Source organism: Homo sapiens, chromosome 9 (assembly GCF_000001405.40).
Source record: "Homo sapiens chromosome 9, GRCh38.p14 Primary Assembly".
Taxonomy (NCBI): domain Eukaryota; kingdom Metazoa; phylum Chordata; class Mammalia; order Primates; family Hominidae; genus Homo; species Homo sapiens.
The window spans coordinates 18,076,314-18,089,023 of NC_000009.12; the positions used below are offsets into that span (position 1 = coordinate 18,076,314).

The following is a 12,710-nucleotide window of genomic DNA, read 5'->3' on the forward strand; positions in this document are numbered from 1 at the left end:
GTTCCTTCTGTAGTCTAGGTATTGTCCTCCTCGTGAGGTGGACACAGGTAAATACCACTGATACAGTTCTTCCATTTAAGACACTTAAAACTTGTGGAAAAAGATCAGTGAGCAAACACATGCATGATCATAAGTGGCTATAAATGCTGTGGCAGAAATGATAAGGGCACAGTGACAAAAATAGTGCCTCCATGGGATAATGAGGAAAGGGGCTTCTCTAAGGAGCTGGACATTAGGAAGCTGTCTTGAGAAAGATAAAAAACACCTGAATGTGGTTATGAGTGCTTTGAGCATGTTCCATTCAGAGCAAATAGAATATTTGGAGACCTCTTAGGGGAATGTACAAGCAGCTAATGTTGGCCAGTGTGGCAATGTCATGTGAGCAGGGAACCACTGTTAACGGCTGGGAGACAGGATTTTGTTGAGTACATCGAGGGACTTATATGTGGAGAGGGGCTGGGCTATGTACATTATTGATACATATCAATAATGACTTGTGTTTTGATAACGTGTGGAGTGTGGCTTGGCAGAAAATAGGAGGAAAAATGGTGGTATTAAGGAGGCTTTTGCATTAGTTTAGGTGAACCATACAAGGTAGTAGAGATGACAAGAAATGGACCGATTGAATGTATACTTGGAATTACACGCTGTTAGATGGCTACGGAAGATAAAGAAAAAGGAAGGATACAGAATGACTCCCAGGTTCCTGGTGTCTTTAAACGTTGGCCACATTTACTGAGATGGGAAGAGTGAAAGAGAAGCAGTCTGGGAGGAGGAGGAGGAGGGTGGAGATTTATTGGTCTATTTTGGACCAGTGGAATTTCTCATGCCTGTGAAATATCCAAATGTAGGTATAAAATTAGTGATAGCATATAAAAGTCTGAATTTCCCAGGAGAAATTTGGCCTGGAAATATAATGTGGTAGTTATCACTATACAAATGGCATTTAAAGCTACACAAAGGCATATTTAACGTTGGAGGAAAGAGAGGGCAGAGAACAAAGATGCAGAGACCCAGAGGCAAGCCCTGGACTCCTCTCCCTTATTGAGTGTTCATGGAGAAGAGGAGGAGGTTGCAAAGGAGATGGAGAACAGCTAGAAACTAAGGTGGAAAATTGGGACAGAGTAATGGCATGGAAGTCAAGAAGGGAAAGTGTTTTGAGCTTAAAGAGGGACCTGTGATATTGAGAAAATGCATATCATGATTGATAAAAGGCCCCTTGGATTTAACAAGATAAGTTATCGGTGATCTCACTGAGAAGTTTCAAAGAAAGGAGTGGTGGTCAGAGGCCACACTGGAGTAGCTGAGAAGTAAATGGGAGCTGAAGGAAGGTAAACATCAAGTAAATGCTACTTGTGTGAGAAGTTGAATTGTGAACAAAATAAGAGAAATGGAAAAAGCTGCAGACTAACGTGGGGTCCAAGGAGGACTTTAAAAAAAATGCATATTTGTATGCTGATAGAATGGGTAAAAGAGAGAAACTGTTGAGGCAGGAGAAGGGGCTAATCGGAGGAAGATGAGAGAGATGGAGAGGGGCTAGCCTTTTATGCAGGAGTTGTCTTTGGATGTAAGAGAAGAAGATGCAGCCCATTTAGGAAGTTTCATGGGTGAGAAGTCAAGGCATCCCCATCTTGGCCTTTCTGGGGTCTCAACGAAGAAAGAGATATATTTGTCACCTAACAAGGACAGGGTGGGAAGGGATGGAGGAAGGAGAGTTGAACTGAGAGAGAAGATGTAAAAGTCATATAGGAGAATAGTGAGCAAACAAGCCTGCTACACAGATAAAAGTAGTAGCATTGCTGGGCTGTGTTGAGAGCCCATTTGGGGCTTGTGAGCACGGAGTTCAAGTGAAACCAGTTTAATCAGTACTTTAACAAGCATGACTCATGAGATAGAATAAAAATAAAACAATTTTTTTCTCCCATTGTGCCTTTTATAGTCGCGCAGTGGGGAAAGTTTTCTCTCTGCCACAGATAGAAAATTCTGGGCTGTCCCTACGCCTCCTAGGAAATAGAGGTTCCTGAAGTTATAGTTAGCTGAAAAAAATCTAGACTCAGAAATACAAATGTTGAGTTTCTACATTTCATCACTATTTTTCTGCATTCAAAAATAAGCCTTTCTTCCCCTACCCCACAGCTCCTGTGTGTCTGTTCTTAGTCAGAGTTTCGCTGACTAACTTTCAGGCTCATCCAGGGTTGTGCTCAGGGAGAGAGGAGAGGAAAGAGGAACAGAAGGTTTCTGCTCAACAGATACACTTGGAAAATAGATATTTCTTTGGTCCTGGTGTATATTTAAAGCTGTATCACTTTCTCGTGAGTATTTTTGTGGTTTTTTCTAGACTTCTCTTCTAAGCCCCTCCAATCGTAACCCCTAGGATGTAGGCATATTCTGTTTCTCTGGTTACCACTCCCTTCTCAGCTCCTAGATTTCCAGAAGCCCAGTCCACCCATATTCTCTCTGCAGGGAATCCATTGCCTTCCCAGTTGGTTTGTACAACTACAAGCCCCTGGACCCTCAAAAAAAGGCAATGGAGCTGTCTTCAGTATGGCCCATCTCTGGCATCAAGAAACAATCATGATGCTGCCTTTGCTCTTAGGAATTACGGAGTAGTGGATTCCAGGCAGCGACCTCTCCTTGGCTCCCATATCAGAGTAGTTTATCAGCCTGTCTATCTCAAGGTTCCCCAGGCAGGGGTCAGAACCTGTATCTGTGGAACCTCCATCCAGAGGTGTGCTGTACTGAACGCTGAGTGGCCCCATAGATGCAGCCCTCATTAGGGTTGACTCAAGAGGGCAGGTATCCCCAGATATCCTTTCCTTTGATGGTGGGTACTAGGCTCATTGTCTAGCAGTTCTCACCCCAAAAATCCTTCTTTTCTCAAAATGTATTCTCAGTCTTTTACTCTCATCCTCGTAAAGAAGGGTTTTTAAATCTCATAAAGTAATTTACACTCTTTTTGAAGATTTATATTCTGGTTACCACTTCACATTGGGATTTCACTGCTATCGCATCTTGATACCTCAAGTCGAAAGTTTCCATTTAATATCCTTTTAACTTCTTTAATTTTTTTAAAGCAACCATTGGGCTGGGCACAGTGGCTCACACCTGTAATCCCAGCACTTTGGGAGGCCGAGGTGGGCGGATCACGAGGTCAGGAGACAGATTGAGACCATCCTGGCTAACACGGTGAAACCCCGTCTCTACTAAAACACAGAAAAATTAGCCGGGCATGGTGGTGCACGCCTGTAGTCCCAGCTACTTGGGAGGCTGAGGCAGGAGAATGGCGTTAACCCACGAGCTGGAGCTTGCAGTGAGCCGAGATCGCACCACTGCACTCCAGTCTGGGAGACAGAGCGAGACTCTGTCTCAAAATAAATAAATAAATAAATAAATAAATAAATAAATAAATAAATAAAATAAAAAATAAAAAGCAACCATTGGTACATGTCTGAAGAGTACCATGGTGGAAAGCATCCAGATTTATTTTTTTTCTGGCAAGTCTTACAGGCACATGAGGTTGGAAGTGTTCCTAAAGGGGTGATTTTGTTGAGGGACTTCAGAATCCCAGCTGGACAAAAAGAAGAACTGAAGACAGGCAACAACTGGTGGATAGTGAGGAAGTGTGTGGGATGAAGGCCACATGCTGTTGAAGAATTGTGGGAGTGCTTGACCAGGTGAGCTGAACAAAGAGGAAATGGTGGTTAGACTAGATTGTGTACTGATGATGACAAGGGTCCAAGTGTTACCATAGGAGAGCCTGGCAGAGGCAGAATGGAGGAAGAGGTAATGGGAGGTCAAGGAGTGAGAAGCCAAAGTGATGGATAGCTCATATTCTGTGCAAATGCAGATTAAGCTGGAAATAGATGAGAGGACTGAACCAGAAGGAAAAGTCCTCAGTGAACAAAGAGTAGTGATCACAAAGTTGGTAGAAACACCAAAGACATATAAGGTAGAGATATAAGGTAAGGTATTTGGATGGTGTCAGACTCAGAGGAGCGGTGGTTTTTGTAAGACTGAGGCAGAAGGATGGTACAGAAGTGGAAAGGGTGAGCTAGGAGGATACCTACAAGATGCCTCTGAGCAAAATCTTAAGATAGCATTGTGCATTAGGAGTTGTGATTCTATCTCCTTTTCTTAGAACGGATGCACAATATCAGAGAAAAAGGTACTTGTGCTAGAAAGGGTATGGACAGCAGCCAGGAAACCAGATTATTACGTATTATGTTGTCTCTACAAAAAACTGGCTCTGCGATCTGGGATAAGTCACTTAGCCCTGAATACCAAAACCCTACATTGAAAGAGTAGCTTACAAAGCACGTTTATGATCAAGTCAAGCTATTACTTTATGAGACAAACCCACTATGTGTTAGACATTATTTTCTCCATTTTACATTTAAAACACCAATTAAGGCCTAGAGGCACTAAGTGATTTGCCTAAGTAGTATTAGACTTGAATGTAGATTTTCTGGTTCTAAGTCATTTCTACTTAATAGTCATTCTGTCATCCTTCATTCTAGACACAGAAGTGCCCATTTAGACTCATAAAACTTATATTTTTAGAAAAAGCCTCTCATTATTTTAATGTTAGTCCCAAAATTATTTGTAACCGTAATTCTAACATATTTATTAATATTTTATGCATTTGTGAGTCAACTTTTAAAATATCAATGATTTATCTGGTGATACAATGCCAACATTTAAACCAAAAACATTTCTAGTTGTACCTTACTTATAAAGATGACTTGATATCTTGAACTGATCATTCTTCTGGAAAAAAAGAAAACAACATTGCTCAGCTTGTTAATATTTTTGGCAGTTTGCAGCTTTGAGTGGGGGTGGACTTTGATAAGTCTAGTCTATCAGAATTAGTAAGTGGCAGTTACTGTCTCAAGGTGGAAAACTGCTCTTTTAGTTCTGAAGATTGTAGAGAAGATACCATCAAGTCTAGTGTGTATGCTATGTATCCCCAAATATAATATTCAGAGTAATTGTTTTACATGTAGTAATACTTTATTGTGAATGAGTATCTTTTTTTCAAGCTTGTAACACGAATAATTCTTTTTCATTGTTTTTTTCTGCCTTATATTACTCTCACTTTATAAACATTCCCAATCTTTAAGAACAGTTAACTATCCTACAGCTGACCTTACATACAAGAGTACTCAGTAGTCCTATTAAACATTTAACAAGTCTTCATGAAAATTGTATGCAGGTGGATCAGGGCAATACTTTAAAATCACTCGAGCTGAATGACACATGTTTGCAGATTTCCATGGGCCCAGTGCATGTTGTTTGGCCAAGCTCATCTTTTTAAAGAAACTGAAATCAGGAACATAGTTTTTAAAATTAGAAAATGACTTGCTTTCTCATTTTGTTTGTACCTCTCCCAAACCAAGGAACAAAAATTGAATCCTTTATTTTTGTCTATTTATATTTTGATTATTATTATAATTAATAGTTTAGACTTTAAAGATTATTAAACAAGAATATGTAAGCGTATCTGCATTGTTTTAAACAATTGTTTTAGCACAGTGAAGAAAAGCTATGTAACTGTGAAAATACTAGCGTATGCTTGTCCTGGATAAACTCAGGTAAACATTTTATATGCACTTATGATGTGAGGACAAGGTTAAGATTGATGAAGAGTCTTTGTTATATTGATAATGGCTCTGAACTGGTGGCTTAATATATTTTAAACTGCTTTTATTTGCTTATGATATGAATCACTCGTTTGGAATATTTTCCAGTGAAGTACTTTTTTAACACAAAACCAAAATGCAAATAAGCTCATTTTCAACTGTAGTTATCTTTAATGTTGAAAATTGTATTCACATTTTTTTGGACAGCAGGTTTATATAAAGGCGGAACAATAGCTTTATTTTGTCAAATAACATATAGAGGATAAGAAGTACGAAACTAAATATGTGCCCATATTAAGTTTTGAAGTAGTAGAAAATGTAAACTACAGTGGACATTTGCATCTGATTATTTCCGCTGACCTAGATAGATTAAACGACCATTTTTTCACTCTTGTCCCTCAGGCTAGAGTACAATGACGTGATCTCAGCTCTCACCGCAACCTCCGCCTCCTGGATTCAAGTGATTCTTCTGCCTCAGCCTCCCGAGTAGCTGGGATTACAGGTGCCAACCAGGATGCCCAGCTAGTTTGTGTATTTTTAGTAAAGACAGGGTTTCACCATGTTGGCAGGTTAGTCATGACATTTTCAGCTTCTTAAGGACACCTTAAGACACATCCTATGTGAGCCTCCTTCACTTGCCTCCTCTTCAAGCCTCCCCAGACCAGATGGCTCCAGCGCTGTCCATGAATCCCTCTACCACCAGCTTCTTTCTGGATGGTCTCCTGCCGTAGGCTCAAGCAAATGTTTGGCTGGTTCCTCCATTGTCCCTCTGCTCACTGTTGTGAAGGAGCCTGCAGGAGAAAGAGAAGCTGAGAAAGGGAAGAGGCAGAGGTAAGAAAGAAGAAGTAGAGAGTTTAAGGGACTAAGAAAAAATGCCTGGCCTCCAGTACCTAAAAATCCTTAAATAGCTAATATAACATGAGAACATTATGAGAAGCAGAATAGGAAAACCCATAATTAGAAGTCAAAACGATTGTAACAAATTATAAATAAAGGTAATATGTCACAACCAGTACTGCCAGGAAGCTGGACTCTGATACAATCAATTACTTTGCAAAATATCATTAGATAAGGATTGAATAAGTGGAAAAATTAAAAGTGCATCTTTATTGCAATAGCGTTATAGAGGAACATGTGGAACGTAAGACTTGAGACAAAAAGACTTTTTATTTTGAGGATGTGGGGCAAGACATGAAACTGTGCCTTTAAGTTTGGCTACTATTGAAGGCAATATTTGAGGTTTTTAGGGCCATTGAAACAGTGATAGGCTGGGGGACCTACAAGTATTGGAAAGATGATGGTAAGTAGGTTCAGACACTTTAAAAGCAGGTTTGTCTTGTATGATGAGTTCAGTTCTCAAGGTTAGAGTTCTGTAACATTGTAATAATATATGGAGATATTCATCTAAAATTGGCTTAAGTCATTGAAGAAGTTATCATGATAGGAAATCTTTTAGTGCCAATGAGACTAGGCTTTTTTGGATAAAAATGCCCACATGATTGACTGTGGCATACATCACCCAAGAAAAATGTATGTCTGTTTTTAATGTTGATATTTAGCCTTTGGCTTGGTCCAAATGCTGTAGGTAATTTCAGGCTTAAACCTTTGATTGTGTAAAGCTCTGAAAATCTCAGGGCACTTAAGAGTTATATGAAAGACAGACTCACAGTCATCTGGAATTCCAATTCTAAACACAGTGCAACTGGGGCTCTTTATGAGGAACAATTTGCTGTTTTCTGCCTGCTATTCAGAGTTATGTGGACAACCTCGTCCATAAGACGTACATAATGTTTCTGGGTATTCTGTATAATTTGTAAATGTTATTCCTGATACTAAAGTTAGCTTTTACCACCCTCCACAATACAACATTCTTGCTCTAGCTCTAAACATTATTTACTCCTCTTTTTTAGGGCTTACTACCTTAGAAAATTCTTTGCCCCAGTTCTTGTTTCCGTAGACCTAGACCAATACGGTGGTCTTGCATTCTCTGTACTCTGGATGAGAGTGAGTAAAGATGAAATAAAGCATCCTGAAAACTAATGGAGGTCAATTAAAATATTCACCAAGGAAAAATGTTTACTGATATTTAAGAAGGTGATGACTTCCCTCCTCCATTTCCCATTGTAGACAAGTTTCCCTACCTCCCAAACAAATTCTTTGCCATGCGAGAATCAATTTTTTGCCTTAGCTAAAACCCAAGACTCTAATCTTGGACAACTGCTTTCCATACAGATTAGGTGAGTGTGGTCTGTTCTTTATGTAAAATAAAATTAAGAGGTGGTGGTGAGGCTGGGCGCGGTGGCTCATGCCTGTAATCCCAGCACTTTGGGAGGCCAAGGCAGGTGGATCACCTGAGGTCAGGAGTTAGAGACCAGCCTGGTCAACATGGTGAAACCCCGTCTCTACTAAAAATGCAAAAATTAGCTGGGCGCGGTGGTGTGCACCTGTAATCCCAGCTACTTAGGAGGCTGAGACAGGAGAATTTCTTGAACCCAGGAGGCGGAGGTTGCAGTGAGCCGAGATGACACTACTGCATTCCAACCTGGGCAACAGAGCAAGACTCCATCTCAAAAAAAAAAGAAAAGAAAAAGAAAAAAAAAGAGGTGGTGATGGAATTCTCTTAGCTTTTCATTAATGTTTAATTCATAGTCACCTCTGATGCTATGAAGAAAATCGATCAGTTACACCGTACAGCTCAAGCTCCCTCCCTCCCTTTCTGCTTCCTTTCCTTCCTCTCTCCCTCTCTCCCTCCCTCCCACCCTCCCATTGCTTTCCTTTCATCTGTCCAAGTGCTAAACACATTCTAGGTGCTGGAGACATGAGAGTGAGCAAAACAGACAAAAATCCTTACAATCATGCAACTTAACATTATAATCAGGTAAAGCAGAAATATGTGCAAGTAAAATATATATCTTGTCAAGTACTGCTAAGCATTAGGGATAAAAATAAAGCTTGCAAAGAGGGGAAGGAAGAAAGGGAGAAGAGGCCTGCAGTTTTAAATAGGGAAGTTAGGTAAGACTCTACTGATAATCTGACATTTGAGCAAACCATGTGGGTATCTGGAGGTAGAGTGTTTGAAGCTGACGGAACAGCAAGTGCTACCATGCTGAGCTGGGAGCATGCTAGTGTGTTTAATAGAGAGCAAGGAGGTGATGAGACTGGAGTGGACTGAACATGGAAATTAATAGGGAATGTGTAGAGAGAGGGCCAGATTACACAGGACCTCATAGACTGTGTTTTTCCTGTGATTCAAGTGGGAACCTCCTAGGAGCAATAGAGGAACTAATGCCCATATTGCCTGGGTTTGGATCCCAGCTTTGCCACTTACCAGCTGTGCGATCTTGGGCACAATACTTAACCTTACTGGGCCTCTGTTGCCTCCTCTTTGAAGAAAGTAATAGTATCTTCTTCATAGACATCATGATGAAATGGCATAATATAAACAAAGCACTTTGGACAGTGCCTGATACATACTAATTATATAGTATATATTGTGTACCATATATACACAAATACACATATGTGTGTGCATATATATATATATATACTGTGTGTGCATATATATATACTGTATGCATATATATATACTGTGTATACATACACACTGTGTGTATACATATATACACACTGTGTGTGTGTATACGTATATACACTGTGTGTGTATACGTATATACACTGTGTGTGTATATATATACATATACTCTGTGTGTGTGTATATATATACATATACTCTGTGTGTGTGTGTATATATATATACTGTGTGTGTATATATATAGCAGGTTATATATATACGTGTATACATATATATGTGTGTGTGTATATATATATACACACACACACACATGCACACACAGTAGCTGGTTGGCACTTGGAAGTCTCACTCTGGCTGCTGTTTGGAGAAGTGACTATAGCAGGAACAAGGATAGGAACTATTTATCTAATGTAGCCAAGAGATGATAGTGGCTCAGGCAAGGACAGTAGCAGCAGAGATGGTAAGAAATGGTCAGATTATAAGATAATATCTTGAAAGTCAAATCGATGAGCACAGATTGGGTATGAGGTGTAAGAGTCGAGGAAGACTGCAGGCCTTTTGCCCTCAGCAGCTAGCGGGCTGGCACTGACATTTACCAAAGGAAGGAAGAATGTGAGAGATAATTTTTTGAGGGAAATCAGAAATCCAGATTTTTGACATGTTATGTTTGAAGTGCCTATTGGTCATTTACATGAATTTGACTCTGCAGAGGTCATCTTTGTCACAGAGTGAAGCAGGCACAAGATAGTCCAGACTGAAGGAAGGACAGACCTCCCAGAGACAGGGACCACCAAATAGAGGAGGAAGCCTTCAAGCATTTGCCAGTTGTGTTGCAGGAATAAGAGACTAACCTTAAATAAAACAGAGTGACCAATGATTTGAATTCCATTGCCTGTGCTTGGTACAGATAATTTAGTGAATTAAAAAAAAAAAGCAAAATAAACAGCCAAAATCAATTTCTTTAAGAGCCATCATATAATCCTAAATCTGCTTTAAAGTTAGATCAAAATCTCCCTAATGTTGCCTCTTTGAATTCCATGACTATGATAATTACATTCTTTTACCTACTGGTTTATTGCTGTAAAAATAAAAGAGATATTATTAAGCAGTAAGATAAGAACTTGTACTCTACACTGTGATACAACCACATATTAAATACTATCTTCAGTGATCGGTAACTGGGTTGCTTTGGCTGGCTGATTTATGTGTACTTTAGAAAGCATTTAAATGATTTTGTACAACAAGGATGGTTATAATTGACTAAAATGATGCTTATGACAATTTCTGTAAAAAGTTGGGCAGTGGCCCTTAATCAGGGATGACTAAGTCATGTTTTAATTTTTCATAGTATTAGCTTCGTATTTTTTTATTTCAAGTGCTTTGAAAACAGTGAATATTTCTTTTTAAAAAATGCTTTCCATATTCAGAACAAGATTTTGATGACTTAGGGTTGCTGATTGCTTGAAATTTTAAGAGAACTCAAACAATAATCTATTATATAACTCTGTAATCAACTCTGTTTTTGTAAAGTCATCTCCCAGTCAACATTCTCATGAGGCTGAGTTAATTTTGTTATTATATGTTTAATTCTTGCTTTGCTTAACTTGGGTTAGATAGCTACTGTGTTGTATTAACTTTATTTTTGTGCTTTCATTTTTCTCATTTATCACACATTGTAGTTAATTTCAGTCATAACCTTTTCTTTTCTCCCTCCCTAAATGCTTTTAAAAATGCTTTCAGCCAGAAGTTGTTCATGTTTACTTGCATCTCAAAGAGCCGTCTTCTGGAAAATTTAAGCAAAATATATTTAACAATGAGTGTATTTTATGGAGGAAAACAAACTGTTCATTTTTAAAGCAATTAAGTTTGTGCAATAATTGATAAACTATAGTTTGGAAACATCCACGTATTTAACTAGTTTTTAATGAGGAATTCTCCTAGGTCACTTAAAGTGAAATAATATGAAAGTGGTAAGTTCTACAAATTAGCCTAAGTTCTCAAAATTTTTAATTTTTTTAAAACAAATCTCTTCATAAAATGTACTTTCTTATTAATAGATCTAGAGCCATGTGACTATGTAATTTTGGATTTGCATTTTATAACAGAAAATTTAAAGTTTTCTATTAGTAGACATGTTTGAGTATAGGATATAGAAAGTTGTATCGTAATTTAACAGTGGTTATTTTGGAATAGGTGAAATAATGGATATTTAAATACTTTTTGATAATATTTTATGATTTTTCTGTAAAAAGAAAGGTAGAAAATGTCTCTTTTAAGTAGAAGAAACTAAGCAATTTGTATCAGTGTTGTATTGCTAAGGTTCTTGGTCTTTTGCAATTAAAAGTTGCAGAACATACAAACAGTATTAGTCACTTATCTGTCCTTTGGATGAAATAGAAAGCAGTTGCCTATCTCAGGAATTTCAATAAGCAACAATTTGTCCACACCTGATATCTTTGGGCCCTCTAACTTATATTAAACAATCAGCCCTGGAGGTACCACACTTCATGATCTCAAGATATATTACAAAGCTATAGTAATTAAAACTATGTATTTGCATAAGTACAGACATACAGACCAATGGAACAGAATAGAGAACCTAGAATTACATACATACAGGGTCAACTGATCTTTGATAATAGTGCCAAAAACACACAATGGGGAAAGGATAGTCTCTTCAACAAATGGCATTGGAACAAGTGGATATTTATATGCAAAACAAATGAAATTGTATCTCTATCTTCATATACAAAAATCAACTTTAAGTAGATTAAATACTTAAATATAAGACTGGAAACTGAAAAATCTGTAGAAGAAAACATAGAGGAAAGTCTTCATAACATTAGTTTTGGCAGTGACTTCATGGATAAGATACTAAATGCACAGGCAGCAAAAGCAAAATTAGACAAGTCACACCACATCACACTGAAGAGCTTTTAGACAGCAAAGGAAACAATCAACATGGAGAAAATGCAACTTAAGGAAAGGTAGAAAACATTTACAAATTATATATTCGATAAGGAGTTAAACGCCTACAACTCAATAGCAAAAAGCCTAATAACCCAATTAAAAATAAGATAGGGACTTGATTAGAAATTTCTTCAAAGAATACATACAAATGATCAACAGGTATATGAAAAGCTGCTCAGTGTCGGTAATCATCAGGGAAATGCAAATGAACACTACAATCCACAATGAGATATGACCTCATACCTATTTAGGATGGCTATTATCATAAAAATGAAAGACAACAATGTTGGTAAGTTTGTGGAGAAATTGAAACCTTAGTACAATGTTGACAGGAATGTAAAATGGAGCAGCCACTGTGGAAAACAGAAAGGTGGTTCCTCAAAAAATTACACATAGAACTCCCATATGATCTAACAATCCTACTTCTGGGTATTTATCTGAAAGATTTGAAATCAGGATCTCAAGGAGATATGAGTATCCCCATGTTCATTGCAGGATTAGTTATAATAAACAAGGTATGGAAACAACCTAAATGTCTATCAACAGATGAATGGGTACACAAAATGTGG

General features: G+C 38.1%; 1 protein-coding gene across 9 annotated transcripts in view; it reads left to right on the forward strand.

Moving 5' to 3' along the window:
• The window catches only part of ADAMTSL1 (ADAMTS like 1), a 1,004,318-nt gene that overhangs the window by 169,681 nt on the left and 821,927 nt on the right, over window positions 1–12,710 (forward strand). The window contains exon 1 of one of the 9 annotated variants that reach the window (XM_047424074.1): window positions 6,137–6,470. The exons of the other annotated variants lie outside the window; for them this stretch is intronic. The gene's annotated coding sequence lies outside the window, so the exon portion shown is untranslated. Of the gene's footprint in view, window positions 1–6,136; window positions 6,471–12,710 lie in introns of those variants that run through there. 9 annotated transcript variants of the gene reach the window in all.